This window comes from Homo sapiens, chromosome 6 (assembly GCF_000001405.40).
Source record: "Homo sapiens chromosome 6, GRCh38.p14 Primary Assembly".
Lineage (NCBI taxonomy): Eukaryota > Metazoa > Chordata > Mammalia > Primates > Hominidae > Homo > Homo sapiens.
This window is the reverse complement of record NC_000006.12, coordinates 35722404-35750341: the sequence shown is the minus strand read 5'-3', so window position 1 is coordinate 35750341 and position 27938 is coordinate 35722404. Positions and strand designations below refer to the sequence as shown.

Sequence of the window (27938 nt, the reverse complement as noted above, 5' to 3'; positions counted from 1 at the left end):
TCTGCCCGGCTTTCTCAGTGATGATTTCATAGCTCCTCAGAGCCCATCTTTGAGGAATGCATGCAGAACACTGTGGCTTACGTTCGTTAACTCATATAATCCCCCTTTCATTTTCCCAACAGCGTCATGAAATCAGTACTATTATTATATGCATTTTATAGATGAGGGGCCTGAAGCTCAAATAGGGTTAACTGCTCCCCTGAGGTCACACAGTAAGTGACAGAGCTGGGACTGGAAGCGAGCACTCTGATTCCAGAGCTCCCTTTCTGACCCAGTATGCCTGCAGATCTCTGTCATTCATGCTGTCACCAAGGATCAACAGTTCTTCCTTGGACACGTGGAAAGAATGATCTTCCTCATCCCCTTTGGCTAATGAGATGTGAGCAGAAGTGATGACATTTATCACTACCACATTCCCTGTCCTTCTGTAATAGTTGTAGAAACACAATGAGGAAGCCTCCCTCAACCTGGGTCTCTGTGTGAGGATGTTGTGGAGTAGAGGCCTGCCCTTCCACCCCCACCGCTGATCTGCAATGGGCATGCAGTGTAAACAAGAATTAACATTTGCCATGTTTTTTTTTTCTTGAGACGGAGTCTCGCTTTGTCGCCCAGGCTGGAGTGCAGTGGCGCAATCTCGGTTCACTGCAAGCTCCGCCTCCTGGGTTCACGCCATTCTCCTGCCTCAGCCTCCTGAGTAGCTGGGACTACAGGCGCCTGCTACCACGCCCGGCTAATTTTTTGTATTTTTAGTAGAGACGGGATTTCACCGTTTTAGCCAGGATGGTCTCGATCTCCTGACCTCGTGATCTGCCCGCCTCGGCCTCCCAAAGTGCTAGGATTACAGGCGTGAGCCACCGCGCCTGGCCCCCTTTGCCATGTTTAAGCCACTGAGGTGTGAGTGTTGTTACTGTGGGATAGCCTGGCCCATCCTAACTAATCTAATGCTATACTGCGTCCTGTTGATTATCTTTGGCTTCAATCCCCAAGCCTGCCTTCTTCCAACCCCCTGAAAGCAATGGCTCCACATTGATTTGAAAAGCAGCAAGAGCCAGCCTGGCCAACATGCCGAACCCCACCTCTACTAAAAATACAAAAATTAGCTGGGCGTGGTGGCGGGCGCCTGTAGTCCCAGCTACTCGGGAGGCTGAGGCAAGAGAATGGCGTGAACCAGGGAGGCGCAGGTTGCAGTGAGCCAAGATTGTGCCATTGCACTCCAGCCTAGGCAACAGAGCAAGACTCCATCTCAAAAAAAAAAAAAGAAAGAAAAGCAGCAAGAGAAGAGGGGAGCTAGTCCCCCAAACATAGAAGTGGGGATGTGTTTTGAGAGATAAGCCCATGCTGTACCACACTCTGGAGCAGAGGTTATGCTGAATGAAATCTCCACCCAGCCCTGGAAGGCCACCAACAGACATTCGAGCTTCAAGAAACTTCAAGTTTCTCTCCTATACTCATTTATTGGCTCTCCTTAATTTTATTCCGTGTTTTTAAAGTAGGAACGACTGGGCTGGCAGGAGGAGGGCCGGGCTCTCAAGTCCTGGGGATACTGCAGGCTGACAATGACCTTGCAGGCCTGGATCTGAACATCTTCCTCAGGGTGGATGACCAGGGCAAGTAGTCGGTCTGCCAGTCGGGACTCTTCCCCAAAGAGGGATTCATGCAGGGACTGTTCGTTGTAATGCCATTTCACCACGTGGTAGTGGGGTGCGTTCCGGCCCTCACTCAGCCGCTCAGCAAACACCAGTACCTCATACAGGAGACTCCCTGACTGTGTGGGCTGGAACAGGTTTAGGAAGTTGGAGTGAACCTGTGATGGGAATAGAGAAAGAATGGGAATAAACTCCTAGGCAAGTTACAAAATTCTTGTTCTTGTATATTCCTATTGCCTAAACTCCCAAATATACCTAAATTTCAGACTCGAGTATATAGTAATTTTTTAGTTTTTCTTTTATTATTATCCTCTAATTTAATTGCCTTGTGATCATAAAACATGAGTGATATGATAATATTCATTCTGGAAATTTTGTTGAGACAAATTTTAAGGCTTAGTGTGTGACTAATTTTCTTAAGTATTGTGTGTGTGCTTGAGAGGACTGTGCATTTAATCCTTGTAGACTGTTCTGAGTATGTCTAATGGCTCAAGCTTATTTGTGTTATTCACTAAGAGTATATCCTCACTAATTTTGGCTTTTTAATCTATCAGTTGCTGCAAGAATGGTTAAAATATTCCAAATCTCCCACTGTAGTGGTATATTTGTTAATTTCTCCTTTCAATTTTTGTCGTATATATTTTGAGACTATGTTATTAGGTGCATACAAGTTTAGAGTTGCCCTACTGTTCTGGTGAACTGAACCACTGATTATCACAGAGTAACCTTTTCTATCCCTAATAATGCTCTTTGCCATAGTAATTTCCCCCCAATATTAAAATACCTACATTAACTTTTGTTTTGTCTCCTGTGTTCCTAACTCTCAGAGTTCAGGAAATGCCTCAAAGGGGGATCCCCCTCCCAATAAAATGGAGTCTCCTTCTACTGGGGGGAACAGAAGAGGCATGATTTTCAGTGCATTTAGTGCAGAGGCAGGAAGATACTAAAACAATTCATCAGGGGTAAATCTGTCTGGAGATGCCATGATTCTTCCCTCCCCCTATACCTGAGTTGGCATTCATCAGCCCCTCTTCAATTTCTTTCTCACCTGGCAGTTGAGAATGTCATAGAGAAGGTCATTCTTCTGTGCCAGGTAGCTCAGCAGTCGTACGGCTTGCACCTGAATAAAGGAAAGAGTAAAGCATGAGAAGGCAGGTGAGTCTGGGCCTCAGCAAGGAAGATATAAACCTCTGCTCCTCCCTCTAAGTACTGTGCTAGGGCTGGTCAGCAAGGCAGGGCCTTGGCCATGGTCCTCAGGCACCTGTGCCAGGATGTAGTCTGACTGCAGGATCTCCATCAAGGCAGGCATCACCCGTCGCAGCTGTGGATGCACATAGTCGGGCAGTGGAAGGTTGTTGAGGAGTCTGAGGCCCGCAATGTGCAGTTCCGTGTCCCAGATGGTGGAGATCAGTTCGAGTACTTTGATGGAGTGTTCCTGGAGTGGGGGAGAACAAAAGGGCTTACTTTTACAGGTGATCACCACTATCCCAGTATCTGACTTTACTCTTCACTGTCCCCATGGATGTCCCCTGGGCCAAACCCAATAGACAATTCTCCCTAACTCTCAACATAATTTGACCCAGTTGCCCACTCCCACTGCCTTGAAATTCTTTATTTGGCTTTTTTTTTTTTTTTTTTACAGACTTCTTTCCTAGCTATTCTGCCCAACCTCCTCTTTTCTACCTACCTCACTCCCATACCGGTATCATCCAGACTCACAGTGTTAAATACGATCCACATGCTGGTGACTCTCCCCTTTATGTCTCTAGCTCCAGCTATGTTGTCCCTCCCCTGAATCCAGACTCATATATGCAGCTACCAATTCCACTTTTCTCCCCAAATGTCTAATAGAGCTCTCAGAGTTAACACGCTCCCCCATCCCCAGACCTGCTCCTTCTATAGCTTTCCCTGTCTCAGCTATGGGTTACACTTTCCTTCCAGTGGCTCGGGCCAAAAACTGCTGGCATCAACTCCTTTCTTTCTCTCACACTCCTTTTCCAACCCTTCAGAAAATCCTGTAGGCACTACCTTCAAAAATCTATCAAAATTCAAGCCACTTCTCCTCACCCCCACTTCTTACCACCCTCTTTCAAGCCACTGGCATCTCACCGGGATTTCTGCAATAGCCTCCTGTCTCCCTGCTTCCATTCTCACCCCCTGCATCTACTTTCAGAGCAGCTGACATGTTAGACATGTCACTCCTCTGCTCAAGAGCCCCCATTTCATTCAGTGTAAAAGCTAAAGTCCTTACAGTGGCATACGGTCCAATGTGATCTGCCCCTCTCTCCCTATTATGTCTTGGACTCCATCTTCTCTTCTCTCCCTCATGACCAAGGTTCCCATCACAATGGCCTCTTACATATTCCATGAACATGCCAGGTACACACCTGTCTTAGGGTGTTTGCATAGGCTGTGCCCTCTGCTTAGCACACTCTATCCCCAGATACTCACAACTCACTCTCACACCTCCTTTAAGACTTCATTAAAATGTTACCTTCTCAGTAAGGCCTTCTCTAACCACCCCCATCCCAGCCTTCCTTACCACCCTCCACTGTTATTTTATTTTTCTCTACAGCATTGTCACGTGTAACACACATTTTCATTTCTTTAATTTTGTTTTTTAATTTAATTTTATTTTATTTTATTTTATTGGAGACCGTCTCACTCTGTTGCCCAGGCTGGAATGCAGTGGTGAGATCTTGGGTCACTGCAACCTCTGCCTCCCAGGTACAAGCGATTCTCCTGCCTCAGCCTCCCAAGTAGCTGGGATTACAGGTGTACGCCACCGTGCTCAACTAATTTTTGTATTTTTAGTAGAGACGGGTTTTCGCCATGTTGGCCAGGCTGGTCTTGAACTCCTGACCTTAGGTAATATGCCCACTTCGGCCTCCCAAAGTGCTGGGTTTACAGGCCTGAGCCTCCGCGCCCGGCCTTTATTTTGAAATGATTATAAATTTACAGGAAGTTGCAAAAATAGTACAGCGAGGTCCCATGTGCTCTTCACCCAGTTCCCCTCAATGGTCACATCTTGCATTATAGTATAATAGCAAAACTAGGAAATTGGTGTTGGTGTAATATGTGTGCATAGTTCTATGTCATTTCAGCACATGCACATATTTGTGTAACCACAACTGCAGCCAACAGATTATCCCACCAGAACTGTCCCATTGCCACAAAGATCTATCTCAAGAGACCCCTTTAGACTCACTCCCACCTGCTCCCCCAGCCCAAAGCCCAGGCAACCACTTGTGTTTTCCATCTCTATATATGACCTTTTAAGTTTGAGGATGTTATATAAATGAAATCACACTTTATGTGATCATTTGAGATCGGCTTTTTTCACTCAGCATAACGCCCTTGAGAACCATCCAAGTTGTTGTGCATATCAATATTATATTCCTTTTTATTACTAAGTAGCATTCCATGGTAATGGCTATACCATTTTGTTTAACCATTCACCGATTGACAGACATTTTTGGTTGTTTCCAGTTTGGGGCTATTCCACATAAAACTGCTATCGACAATCGTGTACTGGTTTTTGTGCAGATATAAGTTTTCATTTCTCTAGGATAAAGGCCCAAGAGTTCAACTGCTGAATTGGTAAATGTATGTTTAGTTCTGAAAGAAATTGCCAAACTATTTTCCAGAGTGGCTGCTGTACCATTTTATATTCCCACCAGCAATATATGAAAGATCCGGTTTTTCTATATCTTTGCCAGCATTTGGTATCGTCACTAATTTTGATTTTAGATCTTCTAATAGGTGCACAGTAATATCTCAGCATGGTCTTCATTGCATTTCCCTAATGGCTGGTGATATTAAACATGGTTTCATGTGCTTATTTGCCATCCATATATCCTCTTCAGTGAAATATCTGTTCATGTATTTTGCCCATTTCCTAATTGGACTGCTTGTTTTAACATCAGGGTTGTTTTTGTTTTTAGACAGAGTCTCACTCTGTTGCCCACGCTGGAGTGCAGTGGTGCGATCTCGGCTCGCTGCAACCTCCACCTCCCAGGTTCAAGTGATTCTCCTTTCTCAGTCCCCTGAGTAGCTAGGATTACAGGTGCCCACCACCATGCCCAGCTAGTTTTTGTATTTTTAGTAGAGATGGGGTTTCACCATGCTGCCCAGGCTGGTCTCAAACCCCTGACCTCGTGATCCCCCATGCCTGGCCTAACATTCAGTTTTGAAAGCACTTGATACAATTTAGCTGAGTCCTTTATCAGATATGTGATTTTCAAATATACTCCCTCAGCCAGGCACAGTGGCTCACGCCTCTAATCCCAGCACTTTGGGAGGTCGAGGTGGGCGGATCAAGAGGTCAAGAGACCGAGACCATCCTGGCCAACATGGTGAAACCCCGTCTCTACTAAAAATACAAAAATCAGCTGGGCATGGTGGTGTACACCTGTAATCCCAGCTACTTGGGAGGGTGAGGCAGGAGAATCGCTTGAACCCGGGAGGCGGAAGTTGCAGTGAGCCGAGATTGTGCCATTGAACTCCAGCCTGGGTGACAGAGCAAGACTCCATCTCAAAACAAAAACAAAAACAAAAACAAATACACTCTCCCAGTCTGCAGCTTTTTTCATTCTCTTAACAGGATCTTTCATGGAGCAAATGTTTTTAATTTTAATAAAGTCCAATGTATTGATTTTCCTTTTATAGATCATGCTTTTGATGTCATGAACTCTTCACCAAGCCCAACATCTCAAAAGATTTTCTTTTTCTTTTTTCTTTTTTTTTTTTTGAGATGGAGTCTCACTCCCATCAAACAGGCTGGAGTGCAATGTGGTGATCTCGGTTCAATGCAACCTCCACCTCCTGGGTTCAAGTGATTCTCCTTCCTCAGCCTCCTGAGTAGCTAGGATTACAGGCCTCCTGGGTTCAAGATTTTCTTCTTGAAAACTGCATCACCCCCACCCAGACTCCTTTATCCACCCCCCGCCTTTTATTTTTCTCCATGGCACTTACCACATGAAACACACTATATATTTTACTTATTTGTGTATTGCTTGCCTTGCCCTGTTAGAATATAAATTCCACAAGCACAGGGATCTTCCCTGTTCTGTTTACTGCTTTCTCTCCTGTACTTAGAGCAGCGTGTTGGCACAAAGTGTTCAATATTACATTTATTGAGTGAATAAAGGGATCTTCGGTTCTAGGATGCAAGATGCGGGCAGGACGCAGTGGCTCACGCCTTTAATCCCAGCACTTTGGGAGGCCAAGGTGGGCAGATCACCTGAGCTTGGGAGTTCAGGATCAGCCTGACCAACATGGAGAAACCCCATCTCCACTACAAAAACAAAAAATCAGCGGAACGTGGTGGCACATGCCTGTAATCCCAGCTACTCGGGAGGCTGAGGCAGGAGAATCACTTGAACCCGGGAGGCGGAGGTTGCGGTGAGCTGAGATCGCGCCATTGCACTCCAGCCTTGGCAACAAGAGCGAAACTCCGTCTCAAAAAAAAAAAAAAAAAGTAAGATGCTTGGACCTAGAGGCATTACCAAAGACAGGTAACCTCACGAGCTGCACCTTTATGAGCCATGTAAGAAGTAAGCAAGAGTCCTGGAGTGGAAGTGAGCATTCCCATCAGTACCTGCCCTTCCCTTCCCCCACCCCTCAAAAGCCGTGGCGACCCGCAGGACAGGTTGGAGTCAGCAAGTCTGGGACAGGGTTTCAGAACGAGGGAACAGCAGCAAGGGGGCATGTGAGAGCATAAAGCATGCATTGTACGTGGCTGGGGTTAGGGCAAGGAGGTGCAGCCCATGGCCAATCACGCACTTTATGCTGAGAGCCTTGAGGCAGACCCAAAGGGCCTGATGGCCTAAGAGCCCTCTGGAGAGAGTGGGCTGATTCAGGGAATGGGGTGAGCTCCATTTTGGATATGTTGGGTTAGAGAACTTGGAGGGCATCTAAGTGGATATGCCTAGTAGCAGCTGCCCATGGGGAAGGCAGGGGAGCCCACAGGCTGCAGAGATCCAGAAGGGCACAGCTAGATGGAAATTGAGATCAAGGAGTAACTACTTTCACCTGAAAAGAGACCAGGGGTCAGGCCCTCAGCATAAAGACACTGGGGAAAAAAAGGAAGAGTGGGACTCAGGCCGCCTGCATCAGAATTTCCTGGGGGATTTGTGAAAAACAAAGTTCTCCTGTTGAACTGAACTCCCTGGGCTTTTTTTTTTTTTTTTTTTTTTTTGAGACAGAGTCTCGTTCTGTGGCCCAGGCTGGAGTGCAGTGGCGTGATCTTGGCTCACTGCAAGCCTCTGCCTCCCGGGTTCAAGTGATTCTCCTGCCTCAGCCTCCCGGATAGCTGGGATTACAGGTGCCCGCCACCACGTCCGGCTAATTTTTGTATTTTTAGTAGAGACGGGGTTTCTCCATGTTGGCTAGGCTGGTCTCGAACTGACCTCAGGTGATCTGCCCACCTCAGCCTCCCAAAGTGCTGGGATTACAGGCTTGAACCACTGCGCCCAGCCAAAATCTTTGCTTTTAACAAGCTCTCCAGGTGATTATAATATGCTTGAGAATCACAGCCTGACCAGGTGTGGTGACTGACACCTGCAATCCCAGCACTTTGGGAGGCTGAGGCAGGTGGATCACTTGAGCTCAGGAGTTCGAGACCAGCCTGAACAACATGGCAAAACCCCACCTCTAAAAAAATACAAAAATTAGCCGGGCATATTGGTGCATGCCTGTAATCCTAGCTACTAGGGAGGTTGAGGTGGGAGGATCACTTGAGTCCTGGAGGTGGAGGTTGCAGTAAGCCAAGATCGTACCACTGCACTTGAGAAGGCTGAGGGATGAGGCAGCAAGCAGAGATCTCTCTAGGTATTTTTTTCTGTTTGTTTCTCAATCTATTTTTATTCTTTTGTGTGTTTGCTTTTATTGATATATCATAGTTGTGCATATTTTGAGGATACATGTAAAGAGAATTTTTTCCCCAAAAAAGTTTGATGCCAAAAATTAAAATGTGGACCACGCATGGTGGCTCATGTCTGTAATCCCAGCAGTTTGGGAGGCCGAGGCAGGCAGATCACTTGAGGCCAGGAGTTTGAGACCAGCCTGGCCAACATGGTGAAACCCTGTCTTTACTAAAATACAAAAAAATTAGCCAGGCATGGTGGTGCGCGCACGCCTGTGATTCCAGCTACTCTGGAAGCTGAGGCACAAGAATTGCTTGAACCTGGGAGGCAGAGGTTGTAGTGAGCCGAGATCGTGCCACTGCACTCCAGCCTGGGCAACAGAGCAAGACTCTGTCTCAAAAAAAAAAAAAATTAAAATGTGAAATTATCAAACGTTAGGTTATGACACAATAGAACACTCGTGCAGGGCTGGTGGGGTGAAAATGGATACCTCCCTCCTGGAAAAGTTGGGCATACCCTTTGACCAAACCATTCCACTCCTGCATACACACCCTAGAATCCTCTCTCAGGCACACAAGGGAGACGAACACAGGAATGTTCACAGCACAATGTGAGTGTGACAAGCACCTGGAAACAATGCAAATGCCTAACAACGGGCAAGTGGCAGAGTATTCACGAAAGAGACCACCACAGAGCGGTGAAAGAGACCCAGGGGGGAGAATTGCTTGAGCCCAGGAGTTCAAGGCCAGCCTGAGAAACATAGTACTCCCGTACTCACTGAGCACACCCGTACTCCCAGCTACTAGGGGAGCTGAGGTGGGAGGACTGCTTGAGCCTGAGAAGTCAAGGCTGCAGTGAGCCAAGATCACGCCACTGCACTCCAGCCTGGGCGACAGAACGAGACCCTGTCTCAAAAAAAAAAAAAAAAAAAACCAGAAGGAAGCAGAGCTGCCCAATAAGGATGAATCTCTCCACGTAGCAGGGAGAAAAGGCCAACCACAGAATAGAAACCATCTACTTCCATGTACATGAAGCTTAAAAACATACCAGACTATATTTTACCTCTTTATTATCTGCTATGCCCTGCTAGAATATGCAAGGATACATACATATATGGTAAAACTACAAAGAAAATTTGGAACTGCTAAACAAAATGCAGGGTAATGACTGCCTCTGGTGGGGGAGGCAGCCAAGATGTGGGAGGGGGCTGTGCTCTATTTCTTGGCCTGGGCATGTTCTGTTTTATTGTTATTCCTTCTAACTTACACATATACAATATTTGCAAGTTTTACATATTTTATTTGTTTTTAATTTGGGAGAGATAGACTATTTGCCAGGAAGAGATGTGGAGGTCAAGGGAGAGGCTTTTTTGGTTTTGCTTTGTAAGATGGGAGGGGTTGGAGCCTACTGCATGCTGATGGGGGAGCGGAGCGTAAGCAATCAGAGAGGCCCTTAAGGAAGGGGTGGGAGGCAGGATTGAGACTATCACTGGCCACAGACCAGGAGAAAGCCATTTTTTTCATGGCAGCAGCAGGAAAGCAGGGAGGATGGGTGTGGATACTGTAAGTTTGGGGGTATGATAGCAGGGAAAGGGGGAAGTGACATGTGGTGTTTTACATTTTGTCTATGGAGTAATGGAGAAGTTATCCGTGGCCATGACACCAACCTCTGATTAACACAGGCCCAGGGGATAGAGTATAAAAAATACATCTGATCTTTGTCCCTAGTTCCAGGAACAGAGCTCCTGAAACCTTTGGAATTTCCTGAGTGACAGCAGTGTCCTTTGTTACTGCAAACCAACCCTTTTTGGTCACAACAGAGCTTATGCTAATGAAGTGACTCCAGGCAGGGTCCTTGGATAGCTTCTGGTTGCCAGAAAGACCAAAGCATGATTAGAAGGTTGGGATTTTCAGTTTTGCTCCCAACTTCTGGGGAGGGGTGAGCAGCTGGACATGATTTAATTCATCAAGACTACATAATAAAAACCTCTGACCAATGGGGTTCAAAGAGCTTCCTGGTTGCTGAACGTGTGGAGGTGCTGGGAACAGCAGGGCACTCCTGAAGTGAGCTTGTGGCAGGCCTCCATAACAACTGTTTCAGTACTGACTGCGTGGTTAAGTTAAATGTTAAAAGCCAGTGCCCTTATACAAAGGCTGGAATGTAACAAAAGCCCACCAGGAGTTTTGCCTAGGCCTTTCCTGGGCCTTAAAGCATGACAAAATTACGAAGGAATTCTTAATGGGACCCATTTAGGATTAAACAAGTTTTACTGTGGATCTGAAGAAACGCCACAGGTCTCCACAAACAAGTTTATTGGGATCTGAAGGAATTCCTCAAAACTCCTTGATTTAGCAAGAGACAAAATAAGGGTAATCACCCCAGCACCTGGACCCATTTAGATTAAGTAAATTTACTGAGGCTCCAGTGGAAGGTCTTCAGGACTCAGACCTTAGTTATAAATTAAAAGAAGTTAATCACGTCTTTAGATGAATGCACATTTACACATAGACATATAGCTTAGAAGGTATATAAGTTCTGAAAAACTTTGTAATTTTGAGTTGGTCCAGCGATAATTTCCTGGCCTTCTCCCTGTAACCGGTTACAGAAATAAAAACTCTCTTCCTCCCCAGTTCATCTGCATCTCGTTATTGGGCCAGGAGCAATAGCAGCCCAGCCCTCAGTTTGGTCCAGGAACAGGCCTGGAAGCTCCGCGCCCTGACACCCTGCCCTATGTGTCTCCTCCGTTTAGCTGTTCCTGAGTTGTGTCCTTTATATAAAAAACCAGTAATAGTAAGTAAAGTCCTTTCCTGAGTTCTGGGAGCCATTCTAGCAAATTAGTAGATCTAAAAAGGGAGTTGTGGGAACCCCCGAATTCATAGCGGGCCAGTCAGAAGTCAGACCTATGATTGGTACCTGAAGTCGGGGGGAAGTCTTGGGGGACTCAGCCCTTAACCTGTGAAGTCTGCCCTAACTATGGATAGTGTCTGAACTGAATTGAATTGTTGAACACCCAGCCAGTGTTGGGAATTGGTGTCAGAAAAAACGTGGCAGTGGTAGGGAGCTTGTGGGGTAGTGGGGGTCCTTCTCTTTGGGGTTGAGAGATACCACTAGTGCCTCAATTCAGTTTCATCCTGAAATTCAAAGGCCTTCATGACCCTGCTGGGAATCTGACCACCGTTTTCCCACTTATTTCTGGGTTACAAATTCACACCCAAACAAACTTCTGGAACATGACCATTTATCCTATGGCAATTAAAGGACTTAAGGACTATAGACATCCTGCATGCCCCACCACGCATCCCTGGGCTCACCTGGATTTTGAGCCTGAATTTTCTGATGCCAGAGAAAGCTTTAAGTGTATTCAGAGCTTGGGTTTTGACACTGTTGTCCTTGTCATCCAGCATGTAGCCCAGCAACACGATGTCATCCGTAGTACAAGCAGAGGCCTGGAGTATTGGGGAGAGATGGAAGAGGCAGGAGAAGCGGGTGTTCTGGGCCCACTGCCCCCCATGTCACCAAGATCCCTCCGCACACCCCCCCCCCACCGCTATCAGCCAGAGAGAGGTCCCAGGATATAGTCTGGCCATTCCAGGGGCAGGGATCGGCCGTAACCCCCAGGGGCCAGGCCGGCTAGGGGGGACCTCCTGCTTCCCTTACCTCAGCCTCCAGCAAGTACACACAGCGAGTGATACTGTGCAGGATCATGCTCTTGGCATACTCATCCTGTTTGCACTCCAAAGAGTTGAGGAGCCTCCGGAGCTCACCTGAGTCCCGCCCGTGCCGCTCTCGCTCGACTGCCAGGCCTAGACAGCCACCCCAGCCCAGTTCAGGCTGTGGACTCAGAAGTGATGAAAGAATGGGGTTGGGAAGTAGGGGACAGGGACTTGGGGACAAGGCTGCCTTGCCTTTTCGGAGAAGCCTTCTCGCCATATGCAGGACCACCATGTACAGTTGAACGAATGTTTACTGCACAAGGGCACCCTATCTAATGTTGTATTGTCCATAACGTACCATCATAGATTTGTCCATTTACTCTAACAACTGTCTGGCATATGGCGGTAACAAGTAGTATTTCATCATAACCAGTATGTGGCAATGATATTCCAGCAGATGGCAATAAAGAGTCTTGCAGAAGGGGCTCATTTTCCTACTCTGCACAAAAGAACATGTGGACTAGTGGAAGCTCTGGGCATATAGTAAGTCCTCCAATCTTCCCTTTCCTTAAAGCCTCACGTTCCTAGGGCAGAAAAGGGATGGGGGGAGCTGCCGACACCAAGTTTCCAAGAAGTGGAATCCTGGGAGCCAGAGGAAATGTAGTATTTGGAGACCTGCCAGATGAGTCTGAGGATCCACTTGAGTGAGATCCAGGGACCCTGAGCTAGCATCTCTGGCAGGGCCTTGCCTAGGACGCTGCAGGGTGGGCTTGAGGAAGATGGACAAGAGAAAGACAAAGGAAAGAGGAACTTGGAGGCATCACCTTTGGGCCCTCCCACAGCAGAGGCCTCGGGAGCAGGTGCCTCCTGGGGCAGAGCCCTCTCCCCAGGGCCCGGACACTCACGGGCGATGCAGATGGGTGAGTTGCTACAGAGGGGTGGTTTGCATTTTATGCCAGCCTTGATGGCCTTGTAGAGCAGGTAGATCGCCCCGGCGCCTGTGGCCAGGCTGACTACGCTTTTGCGGATGTCCAGTTGCCCCAGGTATTGGGGGATGCTCTTGCCCATGTCTTCAGTGTTGCCCTGGGCCCAGGTGAGAGCTAGGCCCAAGGCACCTGTGGGGGGCCTTCCGGAACCAGAACTCTGGCAGGGTCAGGAACCAGGGTACCAGAATTGGAACCTAGGCAACAAAGGAAACTGGGGAGATAATGGGATGGAGGGCAGTGGTCAGGAAATGGGGCAGCCAGGAGTGCTCGAGAACAGATGGGGCCAGGCACCATGGCCCACACTTGTAATCCCAGCACTTTGGGAGGCCAAGGCAGGCAGATCACTTGAGGTCAGCAGTTCGAGACCAGCCTGGCCAATATGGTGAAACCTTGTCTCTATTAAAAATACAAAAAAATTAGCCAGGCATTGTGGCGCACACATGTAATCCCAGCTACTCAGGGGACTGAGGCAGGAGAATCGCTTAAGCCTGGGAGGTTGAGGTTGCAGTGAGCTGACACGCCACTGTACTCCAACCTAAGCGACAGAGCAAGACTCCATTTCAAAAAAAAAAAGAGAAGGTTCTGCTTTAGAGACCACAGGAGATGAAGCATAAGACAGAAGGGGAATAAAAGGGGAGAGGGCAGAAGTGTCCTTCACATCTCCTCTTCTTTAAGGGGGGACCCCAGCAGGTAGCTCCAGAGGCTGCCTTTCCACCATTAGAGGGCAGCAGAGGTCCATTTCCGGGCTGGGGCCTTAGGGCATTTCTGGGTGAGGTGTTTGGGGTATGCCCATTGACAACCCTGTTCCTTTTCTTTCCGGGCCCTCCCATATGTGATCTCTCCACCCTAGATCTACCCCTGGGCCTTGGGGTGTTTCTTCAGGTAGGGTTCCCTCCCCGCATCAGAGGATGAAAAGGAGGGGAGTATCTTAGAAAGCATGCACAGACTCTTGAGGCAAATCCACCCTTTTCCAGCATCTGCATGTTGCCCTGAAGTTTACCTGTTTGACAAAGTGCTCTTGAGGACAGCTACCTTTGCATCTCCAGCATAGAATCTTGTACTTAGCAGGTGGTTTAAGTCATGTTCTGCCATTCTTTAAGGACTTGGCGGCAGAACAATGACAGCATCTAGTAACTGGGGCTCCAGACCCTTCTAACCAGAGTGACCTTGGAGGAGAAAGGGATCGCCTTTGCCTTAGTCTGTTTCTGCATTTGTAACCTAAAGGGATTCGGATTTACCATTCTAAAACTCCAGGATTAAAATGTGGGTAAGTCTGTGCCTTTCAGCTAAATTTGGAAGTATCACCTCTCAGCCTCCCCAGGGATATGAGGCGGCTTGTGAGGTCCTCTGGAGTCAGAAGATGCCACCACCCCAGAGGATGTGAGCCCACCTGTGGAGGTCTTGATCCCCACCACTAGGATGGGGCAGGTGAGACCAGACCCTTCCCTCTTCCCCACCAGGGTCTCCCCGCAACTTCTGTCCCCACTCTCTGTTGCAGAACAGGCAAGTGGCCAGCTCCAAACTAGGGCCACGCCCACAGCCAGTGCTGAGCATGCTGCACCAGAACAGGTGTTCACCTACCTGGCCCTGATCCCTTTTTGGGAGAACTGGGACAGAAGGCTCTGGGTCCTGGGCTGCACCCAGGATGGAAGGAGGTAGGGAAACAGCATCTCCAATGATGCTGCGGCCAGCCAGGCCTGCCCACTCAGAGCCTTGGCCCAGTACACCCTAGGCAGCAGGCAGGGAACAAGCAACACTCCTGGGTGGCCATTCTATTCCTGTCCTCAGCCCTCCTCAAGGGTCATCATTCCTGGCACTCTATTTAGCCCCAAGGTGGGTGACTACATGAACTCCCTGTGGTGAGGGGTGAGTAGAAGCCCATGGAAGCCTCCCCACTGCCATGCAACCCCATCGCATCTCCACTGAACTCCGAGCAGAAAACGGCTGCCTGATGGGAACTGTCATTTAGGTTCCCAGGCTACTTTGGTGGATCTGAGAATAAATCCCTCAAGACAAGGTCCTTGCTCTGCCCTTCTCCAGGGTGGGACCCAGAGTTACTGGCCCCTCCATCCCATGGAGCCGATTCTGCAACCCTCACTTCCTAAGCACAGGTAAGGCTCACCTGTTCTTTAAAGACCTCCAAAAAGTGTTCTTTCTTGGCTGCAACCTAACTCCCTCCTGCCACACCTAAGGCCCATTTCTTCTGGTTCTGCCTTCAAATGATTCAGAGAGATTAGAGGCAGAGTCATTCCTAGAGTGACATTTTTACTAGTCCACAGTACAACAAAAAAATTAAAGACAAAGGAATGTCTATTTGTTGGCATAAAGTCCATTGACCATCTTTTCTTGGGAATAATTGTTTTCTTTCTTTTTTTTTTTTCTTTTTTTTGAGACAGGTTCTCACTCTGTCACCCAGGTTGGAGCGCAGTGGTGCGATGTTGGCTCACTGCAATCTCTGCCTCCCAGACTCAAGCAATCCTCTCGCCTCAGCCTCCCAAGTAGCTGGGACTACAGGCATGCGCCACCACACCAGGCTAATTTTTTGTATTTTTGGTAGAGACAGGGTTTTGCCATGTTGCCCAGTCTGGTCTCGAACACCTGAGCTCATGATCCGCCTGCCTCGGCCTCCCAAAGGGCTGGAATTATAGGCACGAGCCACCGCGCCTGGCTGGAACTAACAGATTCAGATGATGTCACTCCTATTTTGAGAATTAAAATGTATTTTCTTAGGTCAGGCGTGGTAGCTCACACTTGCAGTCTCAGCACTTTGGGAGGCTGAGGCGAGTGGATTGCTTGAGCCCAGGAGTTCGAGCCTGGCCTGGGCTGAAGCAAACCCCGCCAACCCCCAACAAAAAATACAAAAATTAGCTCAGCATGGTGGTGCGTGCCTGTAGTCCCAGCTATTCTGGAGGCTGAGGCGGTAGGATTGCCTGAACCTGGGAGGCAGAGGTTGCAGTGAGCCGAGATCATGCCACTGCACTCCAGCCTGGGTGACAGAGCCAGACCCTGTCTCAAAGAAACAGAAGTATTTTCTTTAATGATGGTGATAATAGATCGTAGGTATGTTCTCCATGCCCTTAGGGAGCGTAAATTTAAAGCTGCAACTCTTTATGGGAACCTGGCTTTCACTTGTTTTCTGGCTTTGTTTTTCTGTCAAATCCAGAAATCTGGAACCACTGGTTAAAAAGAAGTCTGAGAGCCAAAATACACACAGCCAGCTGTGAGTTACTACCTGCCTTACCCAGGAAAAGGACATGAGCTGCCCAAGCACACACCTCTTTGCCATCTATGCCAGCATTTTTACCTTCAAGGCCGATGTTCTCATCGTGTTAAGTACATTTGAGTTTAGTAAGTAAGTATGGGTTCTAGGCAGGGTTCAAAACCAGTTCAGGGCTGGGCGCGGTGGCTCACGCCTGTAAACCCAGTACTTTGGGAGGCCCAGACGGGCAGATCACAAGGTCAGAGTGGCCAGCCTGGCCAACATGGGGAAACCCCGTCTCTACTAAAAAATACAAAAATTAGCTGGACGTGGTGGTGTGCATCTGTAATCCCAGCTACTCAGGAGGCTGAGGCAAAATTGCTTGAACCCGGGAGGCGGAGGTTGCAGTGAACCGAGATGGCACGACTGCACTCCAGCCTGGTGACAGAGCAAGACTCCATCTCAAAACAAACAAACCAGTTTAGTCATGGACTTAGCTTTGTGATCTCCTTGTGCCTCATTTTCCCCACCTGTAAAATAGAAACAATAAGACTTACTTCATGGGATTGTTTGTGAGGATTAAGTAAAGCACTTGGAACAGTGCCCAACACACAGAGCTCAACAAATGTTTACTATAATCCTAATTATCTCCGCAGGTTTCACCTGGACAACATGTGGGGCGTGGGCAGGCAGTGAGAACACAGATGGTAGCCCTCGAAGCATCCCAGCCTGAAAAGCACATGAGTCAGCCCTTCCTTCCACTTACCCACTACCTCTCACGCTGGTCGTCTTTTTTATTTTTTCTCTCTCTCTCTTTTTTGAGACGGAGTCTGGCTCTGTCACCCGGGCTGGAGTGCAGTGGCGCCATCTCGGCTCACTGCAACCTCCGCCTCCCAGGTTCAAGCAAGTCTTGTGCCTCAGTTTACCAAGTTGCTGGAACTACAGGCACGCACCACCACGCCCGGCTAATTTTTGTATTTTCAGTAGGCTGGATTTCACGATTTCGGCCAGGCTGGTCTCGAACTCCTACACTCAGGTGATCCGCCTGCCTCGGCCTCTCAAAGTGCTGGGATTACAGGCTTACGCCACCACACCAGGCCTCCCTGGTCTTCTTAAAGTCAATCAATCCCAACTCCTGTAATCCATGTAACTGCTTTGAGTGACTCTGGAGCCATCTTTGAAGCCCCCACAAATACCTAAATGAGGAACAGGAGCCCTGCAACACATTCCCCTAAACTGTGTTCCTAAGAACCATCCAACTACCTGTGGAATCCTAAGGCCCCTTCCTCATTCTCTTTACCAGTATCCTGGCAATGGTTGTTTAAGCCTAGTTAATGACAGAAGCTCCAGACAGATACTGTTGGGGGTCCTCTACGAAAAGACACCGCCATTCCCGAGGGTGACGCTGCAGCGGCCCAGCACTTGTGCGCATAGAAGCTAAGGGGAAATTACCCTACCCTAAACTCCAGTGAAAAGCCCTTTGCAGTCCGACAGGCTTGCATTCACATCCCAACAGTGTGGGGTTTGGACAAATTCCATAATCTGAGTCTGTTTCCTCCTCTAGAATGCGAGTCTATGAATTCCTGTCTACTGCCTGGAAGTGCCGCTGTCAGGACTGAGATAATGTGTGTACTTTCGGTGCACAGGGGACGCTCAACACGTGCGAGCTTCCCTTGCAGAAAGCCAAGAGATGAAAGGCTGGGGGCCGCCCCTGCCTTAACGTGGATCCCACACTCTCCGAGATCATCTCCCCAGCTAGCGCTTACTCCTGCCCAGGAACCAGATCCTGGGGCCTCCGGGTAGCTCAGCCTAAGGCGCGGGGAGCAGAGGGGGCCAGCGCCCCCAGAGGAGGAGGTTGCGGCGGGGGGAAGGAGGCCGCGCCTTTCCCCGTCCCGGGCCTCCCCCGGTCTTGCTCTCCCTCCCCGGACTACCTCCTCCCCCCGCGCGCATCCGGCGACGGGCACAGGATGTTCTTTCGCTCCCGTCCCCGCTCCGCCCCCGCTCTCACTTTCTCTTCGCTCCCCTCCCCCACTCCCGCCGCGCCCGGCGCCGGCACCTAGTTTAACTCTTTCTCTCCCGCGCTCGGCGGCGCCTGCGCGCCTCCTAGGCGGGGGTCCCATCCTTCCCGCCCGCCCCCTAGGACGCGGAGCGACGGGGCTGCCCGGGAAGGGGCGGGCCTGGGCTGAGCGCTGGGCCCAGGTTCTCAGGATCTCGTGGCCCGCAGCTGTTGGAGAGGGCTCACTGGGAGCCGGCACTCTCTAGAACCCCCGCTAGTTCACCCGGGTGAGGGTGGGGGTGGAGGTGGGTACCCACACTCGAGACAACTGCGCGCCCGAGAAGGGCGGCCAGGCGGGCTTAGTTAGATGCTGGCCCGGCGGGAGGCGAGTACGGTCAAAGGCCACCAACCTCATCCTCCCCCCAGGTTCGGATGCGGAGGGGCCCAGGGCACCAGGAGACGATGGAGAGAGGCCACGCCCCTCGCGACGTCACTGATGTCAAGGCAACTGGGGGCGGGACGGTGGGCTAGAGAAGGGCAGACCTCGGGGAATTGAGGCTGCTGGTGGCTCTGGGACGGGGTGGGGGTGGGGGCGCAGCGGGGGCGGGCTTTTCAATTTGCTTCACTCAATGATGTCCAAAAAACGGAGTGAGGGTCAGCTTCTGTTCGCTCGTTGATTCAACAGGCATTTATTGAGCGTTATGCTTGGGGCTGTGCTTAGGCACTGGGATATTGCGTGCTATCCGAACCCTGCCAGTTGTTGTGAACTAGGGTAGGGTGGCTCTGCGTCCCTGGAACGGACGTAATTATTAACAGTGCCCCTTTTCAAGTTTAAAGTGTCCCAGTATGGGCAGTAGTTAAGGAACACCTTCCTCCCAATTTAGGAAAGGCTCTAACCATACGGGGAAGGAATATAAACTATTGGGTACAACAGACACTTTCCTGGTGCTTTGTATTCTCTGTAATTTTTGCCCCTCATTCTGCAAAACAAGTGTCACTAGCGACTTTTACAGACGAAGAAACTGGCTCAGAGAGGTTAAGAGACTTACCCAGGGCCAAACAGCTAAGTGTTGGAACCAGGATCCAGACCCAAGTTTTATGTGCCCTCCAAAGTATTTCATGCCCACTTCTCAAAATAAGTAAATGGTATCAAATAAATAAAAGACACTGTCCCTGCCATTAAGGAGCCTACAGCCCATGGGAGAAAGGGTTTAAAATACTGCAGGACATAACTAAGCAATAAAATATAGAAAAGATTAGGCAGGGCGCGGTGGCTCACACCTGTAATCCCAGCACTTTGGGAGGCTGAGGCGGGTGGATCACCTGAGGTCAGGAGTTCAAGACCAGCCTGACCAATATGGTGAAACCCTGTCTCTACTAAAATGCAAAAATTAGCCGGGCATGGTGGCGTTCAACTGTAGTCCCAGCTACTCGGGGAGCTGAGACAGGAGAACTGCTTGAACCGGGGAGGCAGAGGTTGCAGTGAGCCGAGACTGCCCCACTGCACTCCAGCCTGGGCAACAGAGCAAGACTCCATCTCAAAAAATAAAAAAAAAAAAAGGAAAAGATTAAAGGCAGCTCACAGGCTCAGAGGGAAGCCACTAGTTACGCCACTCTCCTTTCCACCTTCTGCCCTCCTCTGTGGTTTTGTTCTCTTACTGAGCAGGCATCTGCCCTCCTAGCAGGCATCTGCCCTCATTCTACTCTGCACCCAAGGTTTTGCAGTTGGTATTTGCCACAACCTCCCTGATATTAACTTGGATGTCAGCCTCTCCCTTCCCCACCAGCCACCACCCCCCGCCCCCCACCAAAGATTTTGGGGAAATGAAAAATAGTGGCACTTCAAACAAAAGGGCCCCAGTGAGCACCAGTAAGCCAATAGGCTTGATGGGACTGGGGAGACCAAGGCAGGAGAGAGAATAGGAAGGATGGAAAGGGAACACCACCAAATGAATGGGTCACGAGGAACATTTGCTGCCCTACTGCTGTGCAGGAGGCACTGCACTAAACCCCGTGGCCTGGACATGCCATGAATGAACTCAGGTCCCATCACAGAGAGTACACAGGTTAGCTAGTGTACTCACTGTGCTTGGTTGAGGAGTCTGAAGTTGATAACATACACAATAAATGATGTTTGAGAAAGATTATTCCAGCAGGGTGTGTAGGAGGAAGGAAAAAGAAAGGACAGTGTGGCAGATGCTGTGAGAATTTGGGCCAAAGGTGGACTCTATGGGGCTGGAGGGGAAAGGGTGAAGGAGAAAAGTAATGAACAAACAATATCTTTTGAAATAAAAGCAACAAAGGGAAGAATTTGATAAGAGATCAGACATAAGGATGGTGAAGGAGAGAAAGCAGTTAAAAATTAATCTACCTTTGCAGTGAGTTTTAGGACTGGGAGGGTCATGGTGGGCAATGGGGAGGAGCTGGTATGAGGGGCATGAATATGAGTTCAGTCACTTCTAGGCCATGTAAGGGCAGGTGTCCTGTAGGTGACTGGACTTGGAGATAGGGAAGTCCAGAAGAGCAGTGGGCTGCTGTCTGAGAGTGTCCCTGTCACAGCCTCGAGCAATCACTGACCTGGGATCACGGACAGATTTCAAGCATCAGGAAGAAGGTGGGAGTAGATGGCAGTGAAGGTGCCTCTCGACTGGGAGATGCAGTGTGCATTGGCTGGGTAAGAGCCTGTGTGGGAAGCGTGATGTGTGTATGGGAAGGGGGTCCACGGCCCAGGCCTGTGTTGGCATCTTTAGCCACAGAGGGTGCCAGAGATGCCACCAGATGGCAGGAGGCCCAGGTGAGGCACTTCAGCAGCCTGAGGTCCCTCCCCTAGGCCCACTCTCAAAGGCCCTGGAGCCCAGGCCTATGCTGCCTGCCAGGGCCTTTCCCGGAACCACTCCTCCCCGCCTGTCCTGGCACTCTCCAGGCACAAAGCATCCCTCAGGGCACTGCGCAGGCACCCCAGGAAGCTGGGACGTGAGACAGGTCCCCACCCCCAGGAATAACCCTGCTCTGGGCTGCTGTCATCCTCACAATGGCCCCACAAGACGCCAGGAGACAGCATAGGGACAGCATAAGTCCCCAGTGGGGACCCCAAATGGGACCCCATTTCCCCTGCATAGAGGGGGAAGGAGGAGCTTTGTGGCTAGGTGGCAGGATCTTTATTGGGTCTTTATTGTGGTTTGGGGGTGGGGGCAGAAAAGCAGGGTCTCGGGCTTCAAAACACCACACCACCTGCCTCTCCCTCCCTCCGAGGAGGAAATCTTCAGGGGCCTAGTGGTTTTGAGGGGAGGGGGCAGGAAGAGACTCTGAACTCTGGGTCAGCTGAGGACAGAGATAGGGGAGATCCTCTTGCCCTATGTCCCTCTTTTCTCCTAGGATCCCCTTCCTCGGCTCCCTACTCCACCACTACCCCAGAACAAACTCCTACCTCTGTTTGCAACTAAGAGTTACATCCCCCATGCCAAGACCTTCCGAGGCGTCCCAGAGGGGTGAGATTTGGGGAAAACAGGACATGTACACAGCAGCTGTGTGCCTGGCCACACCTGTCGGGTGGGGTGAGGAGAGTGCTTCTCCCAGGTGGGCAGAGCCTGCTGCGCTCAGGCTGGGGGCTGGGAGACGCTTTAATAGAGGGGCGAGAAGGCAGAGGGATGCGCAAACCGGCCACGTGGAGGTCTCGCGCGGCAGGCTGGGGCGCGAGCAGAGGAGCGGGCCGTATGCTTGCCCCTCCCGTTCCAGGGAGCTGCCGAGTGCCGGGTCGTCGCTGACCGCAGGCTGCAAGAGCGGTTGATCTGGTGAGCGAGCACACCCACTTACCCAGCTGCTGAGTCAGGCTGTTCTCGCTCGCGCTCGCCCGCCCGCCCGCCCGCTCGGGACATTGTGTTCCAGCCCCGGCGCGCTGGCAGCGGGCCCAGGCGCTCACACCAGCCTCCTCGCCCTGTTTGTGCTCGCGGCTTGCGCTCGGCGCGCAGCCTCCCGGCCGCCGCAACCATGCGATTGCACGCTGGGGCAGGGGTTGGCGAGCAACCTCCGGGGCGCGCGTGGGCCCCGCAGCCCTGCCCACTCACCGGCCTTGGAGCACCCAGACCTAGCCATCCCCCATTTGCCCCTGCTTGGGTACCCCAGGCTTGGGTGGCGCCTGGATTAGCACAGCTGGGGGAGGGAGCAGGTGTGGGGAGCTCTACGAGCAGAAGGAGCCACCCAGGCTGCCGCCAGCGCTCTCCAGCGCTCAGTCCGTGCTTCTCCAGCGCTCAGTCCGGGGGGCGGGAGGAGGATAGCTGGAGCTCGCCAGCCCCAGACTTGCGAGACCTGGGACGCAGTCACGTGACAACGGAAGCCCGTGTTGAGGGGGCCAATTCAAGCAATCCCCAGGAGGAGCCTCCCCTTTCCTAGCCCCCCTTCCCTGATCCTTCACAGAAGCCTGGAACACGGAGACTCCAGGGATTCCCGGGGCTGGCAAACCAAGCCCAGCCCTTTTGGACGGTTTGGGAAATCCCTGGCACGACGCCGGGAGTAGGGAGAGCCCAGACACTGGCGAGTGGGTGTGGACGACAGGGTGAAAGAAGGGCAAGGCCAAGGAAGACGACCCCAAACTGCCCCTGGAATCTGACCCTTCCCTGTGTTTAGCTCCAAACCCCTGGTTTATTCAGAGCCACGTTTTCTCCTTACCCATCCTTCTGTGGAAAGACATCACTAAGTGCTGGTCCTAAAGATCCCACCCTCTCCAAACCAAGGAGGGAACAAAGCATTTATATCGCACGTTTACCGTGTGGAAGGCTCTGTATTGGGTCCTGCTAAAGAATGTCACCATGAGGTTAAGACACAGTCCTGAAGTCCTTTGTTCTCCCTCCTTCCCACCTCCACAGTTTGCTGTGCCATTTCTCATGCCAGGAGTGCCTGTCCTCCCTGTCTACCCATCTCTGCTGCTCCAGCTCATAAAGCTTCCTTGAAACAGTGCCAGCCAAATCTGATTCCTGTCTCCTCTGAACGCCCAGCACACTCAGTTTGTACCTTTCTCACGGCACAGCGTGTGGCCTGTCTCATATTCTAGCGATCTGTTTACTAATCCTGTTCTTCTAACCAGATTAGAAAGTCCTTGAGGCAGAAACAAAGTCTGCTTCTTCTTTGAGCCCTCTCCTCCACTGCCCCCGCCTCCCACCACCATTCCAACTCATCCCCCACAGGCCAGGCTTGGCACCGGAGTTCATGTTCAATAAATATTGGGTGTATTGAAATGATATCCTCCCCTTGGGCAATTGAAGAGACAAACACGCTGGATGTTAGGTTAAATAATAACCCAAGCCAGCAGGTGGTGAGTACCAAATGTGTGTAATAGCTATAGGGACTCAGAAGAAAGAAGGTGGTTCTAGGGAGAAAGATATGGGAGAAAGATCCCAGGAGGTTCTAGGCCTTGAGCTGTGTGTGTGTGTGTGTGTGTGTGTGTGTGTGTGTGTGTGTGTGTGGAGGAGGAGGAGATGGGAGGGGTGGACGTGACTCATTCTGCTTGACATCACCACAAAACAACCTCCACGCTAGGCACTTCACATGCATTATCTCTAATATTTAAGGTTGGGGGGATAGGATTGGGAGGCTTGGAGGGCACAGTGCCCAAGCCAGGCCTGCCTTCCCAAAGCCAACCAGAGCATAGAGGCAGCCTTGGATCTGGGCTCCCCACCCTCAGTCCCTGGGCACTGCCTGTTCTCTGGCCTGCCACTCCTACGTACTACACCCAAGAGAGCTGCCCAGCACTGCCTAGTTCTGGATGCACTCTGGTCCCACCCTGGTGAACAACTGCCTGTGTGACCTTGGACAAGGCACTTCCTCACCGTCATCTGTACCTCTCTTGCAGCCCTTACAGGCTGTGACTTCCAGTCAGTATCCAAGTGATGCTTGCCGCCTTTCCGGGTGTCACCTGGGCTGCTGGGGCTGTCTGCACCCTACATTCCCCCAAACACCCCCATGCATACACACTCATTGCTCCCTCCCAGTCTGGAGCTGCTGAGAGGAACAGGGTACAGAGTGTGAGCAGGGATGGTAGGTTTCCTGTGGTTGCAAAAGGAACATCAGGACTTTCCCTGCGGTGCCCCGAGCTGTGGGAGAAGTGGGGGAGGAGGAGGCAGGGCCAACCTCGAAGGAACCTCTGCTCTCTTCCCTCCCCATTTTAGTGCTCACAGCTCTCAAAAAGGCTGGTACAGTTTGTTACGCTGGGACCGGAATGTACCGTGTGTTTCATATGGCCTCTGTCCAGTCCTACACTGGCCGCTTTATATTTATACTTCCTTCTTTAGCTGTGGCATCCTGCTGTCAGTTACCCCTGCTCTCATCTCCCCATCTTCCACTTGGGCTCCCCAACTCCCCATGGATCAAGAAATGAGTCTCCTGCTTCCCACTCCCCGTCTTTAGGTTCTAAACTCTTGCTGGGGGTGGGAAGGTGGGGTGCAGAGAGACCCTGGAGAAGTTAGACTCCAGAAGGGTGAAGCCCCCAGTCCTTTCTCTCTCCCATCACCCAGCCTTGAAACTGCCTCTAAAGCTGTGGAGTCTCCACACCAGGTCTGGAGTTTCTCTGGACCCTTGAGGCTGATCCCTCTCCCCTTGCCAGCCTTGTTTCCCAAGCCTTTTAGCAATATTCCTGAGCCCAGCTAGACAAGTGACAGCACTATGTAAGTTGCCTCCAAGAGCTCGGCAGACCTGGTAATCACAGATCCTTCCTTGTCAGTCACAGAGAACAGAGGCAGAGGTGGGGGCCTCGCGGCAGGGAGGGGGATCTACCCATCCTCTCACCCCCAGGAGTCACACATTCCTAATGGAATTTGACACTTGATGATTTCTCAATGATTTTCTGAGTTGTGACCAGTTTAATCTCCTCAAAGTGGCTTAGATATTGAGAGATCAATACGTTTATGATCTGGCCTTTCTCCCCCAGGAGCATGGGATATTATTATTCACATTGATGGCTAATCTTGATTGCTTATATGGAGAACTATCTCTGCACACCAACCCCCAACAGCGTTTGGAACCCAAAGACTGTGGCACAGGAGACTCACTACTAGACCCAAGGTTGAGGTTCAGGTCTTTATTTACAGGATCCCATTTACTCCTCACAACAATTCTGGGGTGTGGGTGCTATTGTTAGCCGTCTTTGACAGTTAAGGAAACTGAGGCTCAGAAAAATAACAGAGCTCAGCTGAGATTCACACTCAGGTCTGTCTGACATCAAAGCCAGCACCTTTTTTTTTTTTTTTCTGAGACAAGGTCTCACCCTGTTGCCCAAGCTGGAGTACAGTGGGGAGATCATGGCTCACTGCTGCCTCAACCTCTGGGGCTCAAGCAGTCCTCCCACCTCAGCCTCCTGAGTAAACGTCCCAAGTAGCTGGGATTACAGGTGTGAACCATCACACCTGGCCAAAGCCAGCACTTCAAAATAGTCTTCAAGATTGCTCAGATTATGTAACTAAAATGCAAATTCTCCATTTCTCAAGCCTCAGAGTCTTACTCCCTTCTCCCTTCAAATGAAGGAGAACTCTGCCTCCTTGGAGCTCCTGCATGCCTTGAGGTGTGATCTGACAGCTAGAAAATTGTTTTTAGCCCATTCGACAGGCTGAAATCTGGATACTAGCAAGGCCCCAGAGGACAGTCTCAGCAGTGGAGTTGGACAGTCAGGCCTGCTGGCTGTGGGCTCCGTGTGTCTCTTGGCTGGCTGGCATGCCTGCTGCCCCTCACCCTTCACCCAGGAATAAACTTCCTGGTTGTATTGATTTGGCTCTGGGATCCAAAAACCAGGGGCTGAGCCTGGGTTCCAGGGCTCTGAAGTCAGGTCTATCTGCAGCACCCAGTGACAGTGACACGGCCTCTCTTAGGACCCGTTTACAGCAGGCCTTTGGGAGAAAGCACCACCATTATGTCAATCCCTGGCACTTATATCAGGCTGTGTACATTTAATGTACCTGCCTTAACTCAGTATGATCTTAATATGCCTCTAAAGTAAGAATCAGACTCGCTTTCCTGCTGGGAAAACTGAAGCAAGAGCAGCTAAGTTGCTTGCCTAAGGGCAAGAAACTAGGTTTGTAGTTGCTGTCTGGGGTACTTTGTTTCCTATCACAGGGCCTCTCCTGAGCTAAGAGAGGAAAAGTTTTCCAGGATGTCCTGATGATGTGTGGGCTTTCACTCAGCCCTATCACCCAAGGAAGGGACCACAGCACCACACTGCCCGTGCCAGCCTTATCTGCCTACCCCCAGGGGATGAAGCAGGGACCCCAGACGTAATGTATTTAGTTGGTCTGTCCTGGTCTCTGGCAATCTGTCCAATATGGCTCTCATGGGCACATTTTGTCTTTCTGACCTTCTTCTTTCTCTGAGTTCATTCTTCTTTGTTTATCTTTCCTTCTGAATTTCTCTCTCCTTGTTCACTGAGAGTCCTGTTTACCTCCATCTATCGGTGTTTACTTTTTATTTTTGCTTTTTGTATTTCCAGTCTTCTGGGAATTTTCCCAAGATCCCTTCTGCCTTCTTCCCTCTGACACCATCTTTTTTCCCAGGAAGCATCTTCCATTTGTTCCTACCTCCACGCCCTATGCCTCACCTTGCCCCAAGCTTCTGCCAGTGTCAGATTGCTCAGCCTTGTTAATCCAGTGGGCACTTACAGAGCACCTACTGTGTGTCCCAGGAATTGAGTTAATGCCCTGGGAACCAAAGTCCTACACCTGTGCCTGGGCATTTATTTATTTATTTTTATTTTAATTTTTATTTTATTTTATTTATTTATTTTTTGAGATGGAGTCTCGCTCTGTCGCCCAGGCTGGAGTGCAGTGGTGTGATCTCAGCTCACTGCAACCTCTGCCTCCCGGATTCAAGCAATTCTCCTGCCTCAGCCTCCCAAGTAGCTGGGATTACAGGCCCCCGCCACCACGCCCAGCTAATTTTTTGTATTTTTAGTAGAGATGGCGTTTCACTGTGCTGGCCAGGATGGTCTCGATCTCCTGATCTCATGATCCGCCCGCCTTGGCCTCCCAAAGTGCTGGGATTACAGGCGTGAGCCATCGCGCCCGGCCATGCCTGAGCATTGATTAAGCACCTACTGTGTGTGTGTGCCAAGTATTGTGCTACAAACTGGGGACACAAAACCTGGTCGCTGCCCTCCTATGGGCTACTTGGAAAGTCTGAGTCCCTGGTTTACTTGGGAAAATGCACAAAAACGGATCATTATAATGTCTTGGGAAGTTGGGGACTGGGTGTGGCCAGAGCAGAAGGTTCAGGGAGAGAGGAATTGGCCAGGCAGAGCAAGGGTGCAGGACGTTCCAGGTAGAAGGAACAGTGTGTATAAAAGCACACAGGCGTGAAGCAGCCCGGTGTTCTCTGGTGGGCACTGGGAGTTGTTTGGTCTGGCTGGACATGGAGTGCAGGTTGGAGAGCCCGGGGAGATGAGGCCAGAGGCAGGCAAGCCCAGATGGTGCAGAACCTCGTGTTCCAGCAAGAGTTGACCTTTATCCTGCAGCAGCCGGAAGCCCAGGCAGCCTCATGGTTCCCTGCAGCCCGGGAGCTTCAGGGCTGAGCCTGGGCCAGAGCCAGGCCCAAAGCACTCTCCTCCGATCCCCCATTA

At 50.5% G+C, this 27938-nt stretch overlaps 2 protein-coding genes and 1 long non-coding RNA gene across 14 annotated transcripts in view, besides 13 other annotated features; 2 read left to right on the top strand and 1 right to left on the bottom strand.

The window, feature by feature from the left end:
- ARMC12 (armadillo repeat containing 12) lies at positions 1263-18818 on the bottom strand. Of its 12 annotated transcripts, XM_047418343.1 has the most exons (9): positions 17808-18818; positions 15274-15364; positions 14152-14317; positions 12990-13362; positions 12170-12315; positions 11824-11958; positions 2908-3081; positions 2695-2766; positions 1263-1804 (listed from the first exon to the last, which is right to left on the bottom strand). In XM_047418343.1, the coding sequence occupies exons 4-9, from the start codon at positions 13231-13233 to the stop codon at positions 1472-1474; spliced, it is 1104 nt and encodes a 367-aa protein (XP_047274299.1). In that variant the 5' UTR covers positions 13234-13362; positions 14152-14317; positions 15274-15364; positions 17808-18818; the 3' UTR covers positions 1263-1471. The 12 variants fall into 12 exon arrangements, with proteins under 12 accessions (XP_047274299.1, XP_016865924.1, XP_047274303.1 ...); XM_017010435.3 differs by having other exon boundaries at positions 14152-15364; XM_047418347.1 differs by having other exon boundaries at positions 13071-15364.
- Positions 2670-2869: a silencer, noted in NCBI's record as "fragment chr6:35715250-35715449 (GRCh37/hg19 assembly coordinates)". NCBI's record gives its function as "represses an EF-1alpha promoter that drives an FKBP-Casp9 reporter gene in an ReSE screen in K562 erythroleukemia cells {active_cell/tissue: K562}" and the evidence as "EXISTENCE:reporter gene assay evidence [ECO:0000049][PMID:32094911]".
- Positions 9988-10595: an enhancer, noted in NCBI's record as "OCT4-NANOG-H3K27ac-H3K4me1 hESC enhancer chr6:35707524-35708131 (GRCh37/hg19 assembly coordinates)". NCBI's record gives its function as "activates a minimal SCP1, AML or CMV promoter by ChIP-STARR-seq in primed H9 embryonic stem cells {active_cell/tissue: H9 hESC(primed)}" and the evidence as "EXISTENCE:reporter gene assay evidence [ECO:0000049][PMID:30033119]".
- Positions 10596-11204: an enhancer, noted in NCBI's record as "OCT4-NANOG-H3K27ac-H3K4me1 hESC enhancer chr6:35706915-35707523 (GRCh37/hg19 assembly coordinates)". NCBI's record gives its function as "activates a minimal SCP1, AML or CMV promoter by ChIP-STARR-seq in naive and primed H9 embryonic stem cells {active_cell/tissue: H9 hESC(naive and primed)}" and the evidence as "EXISTENCE:reporter gene assay evidence [ECO:0000049][PMID:30033119]".
- Positions 11813-12421: an enhancer, noted in NCBI's record as "H3K27ac-H3K4me1 hESC enhancer chr6:35705698-35706306 (GRCh37/hg19 assembly coordinates)". NCBI's record gives its function as "activates a minimal SCP1, AML or CMV promoter by ChIP-STARR-seq in naive H9 embryonic stem cells {active_cell/tissue: H9 hESC(naive)}" and the evidence as "EXISTENCE:reporter gene assay evidence [ECO:0000049][PMID:30033119]".
- Positions 12422-13030: an enhancer, noted in NCBI's record as "H3K27ac-H3K4me1 hESC enhancer chr6:35705089-35705697 (GRCh37/hg19 assembly coordinates)". NCBI's record gives its function as "activates a minimal SCP1, AML or CMV promoter by ChIP-STARR-seq in naive H9 embryonic stem cells {active_cell/tissue: H9 hESC(naive)}" and the evidence as "EXISTENCE:reporter gene assay evidence [ECO:0000049][PMID:30033119]".
- LOC285847 (uncharacterized) lies at positions 13395-23580 on the top strand. Its single transcript, NR_027117.2, has 10 exons — positions 13395-13501; positions 14464-14579; positions 14978-15262; positions 16315-16499; positions 17915-18149; positions 18773-18850; positions 20836-21020; positions 21722-21834; positions 22082-22137; positions 23209-23580. It is a non-coding gene; the product is annotated as an uncharacterized LOC285847 (long non-coding RNA).
- Positions 18031-18560: a silencer, noted in NCBI's record as "silent region_17099". NCBI's record gives its function as "represses an Ori minimal core promoter by ATAC-STARR-seq in GM12878 lymphoblastoid cells {active_cell/tissue: GM12878}" and the evidence as "EXISTENCE:reporter gene assay evidence [ECO:0000049][PMID:35858748]".
- Positions 18216-18510: an enhancer, noted in NCBI's record as "tiled region #7900; K562 Activating DNase unmatched - State 1:Tss". NCBI's record gives its function as "activates a minimal TATA promoter and a strong SV40 promoter by Sharpr-MPRA in K562 cells {active_cell/tissue: K562}" and the evidence as "EXISTENCE:reporter gene assay evidence [ECO:0000049][PMID:27701403]".
- Positions 18941-19070: a silencer, noted in NCBI's record as "silent region_17098". NCBI's record gives its function as "represses an Ori minimal core promoter by ATAC-STARR-seq in GM12878 lymphoblastoid cells {active_cell/tissue: GM12878}" and the evidence as "EXISTENCE:reporter gene assay evidence [ECO:0000049][PMID:35858748]".
- Positions 21629-21678: an enhancer, noted in NCBI's record as "active region_24412". NCBI's record gives its function as "activates an Ori minimal core promoter by ATAC-STARR-seq in GM12878 lymphoblastoid cells {active_cell/tissue: GM12878}" and the evidence as "EXISTENCE:reporter gene assay evidence [ECO:0000049][PMID:35858748]".
- FKBP5 (FKBP prolyl isomerase 5) overlaps positions 21759-27938 on the top strand; it is a 154994-nt gene continuing 148814 nt past the window's right edge. Inside the window, exon 1 of the mRNA NM_001145775.3 lies at positions 21759-21834. The gene's annotated coding sequence lies outside the window, so the exon portion shown is untranslated. The remainder of the gene's footprint in view (positions 21835-27938) is intronic.
- Positions 21956-22250: an enhancer, noted in NCBI's record as "tiled region #11861; K562 Activating DNase matched - State 1:Tss". NCBI's record gives its function as "activates a minimal TATA promoter and a strong SV40 promoter by Sharpr-MPRA in K562 cells {active_cell/tissue: K562}" and the evidence as "EXISTENCE:reporter gene assay evidence [ECO:0000049][PMID:27701403]".
- Positions 21956-22418: a biological region, named in NCBI's record as "Sharpr-MPRA regulatory region 11861".
- Positions 22189-22418: a silencer, noted in NCBI's record as "silent region_17097". NCBI's record gives its function as "represses an Ori minimal core promoter by ATAC-STARR-seq in GM12878 lymphoblastoid cells {active_cell/tissue: GM12878}" and the evidence as "EXISTENCE:reporter gene assay evidence [ECO:0000049][PMID:35858748]".
- Positions 24324-24500: a silencer, noted in NCBI's record as "fragment chr6:35693619-35693795 (GRCh37/hg19 assembly coordinates)". NCBI's record gives its function as "represses an EF-1alpha promoter that drives an FKBP-Casp9 reporter gene in an ReSE screen in HepG2 liver carcinoma cells {active_cell/tissue: HepG2}" and the evidence as "EXISTENCE:reporter gene assay evidence [ECO:0000049][PMID:32094911]".

What these genes read in the sequence shown, in the direction of transcription:
- ARMC12 (XM_017010435.3), bottom strand. Translation starts at nt 13,233, where the DNA reads ATGGGCAAGAGCATCCCCCAATACCTGGGGCAACTGGACATCCGCAAA. An exon ending in TGCTGTGGGAGGGCCCAAAG is followed by an intron (nt 12,316 to 12,989) that starts GTGATGCCTCCA and finishes GTGGCTGTCTAG; the next exon opens with GCCTGGCAGTCGAGCGAGAG. An exon ending in CAGACTACATCCTGGCACAG is followed by an intron (nt 2,767 to 2,907) that starts GTGCCTGAGGAC and finishes TCCTTTATTCAG; the next exon opens with GTGCAAGCCGTACGACTGCT.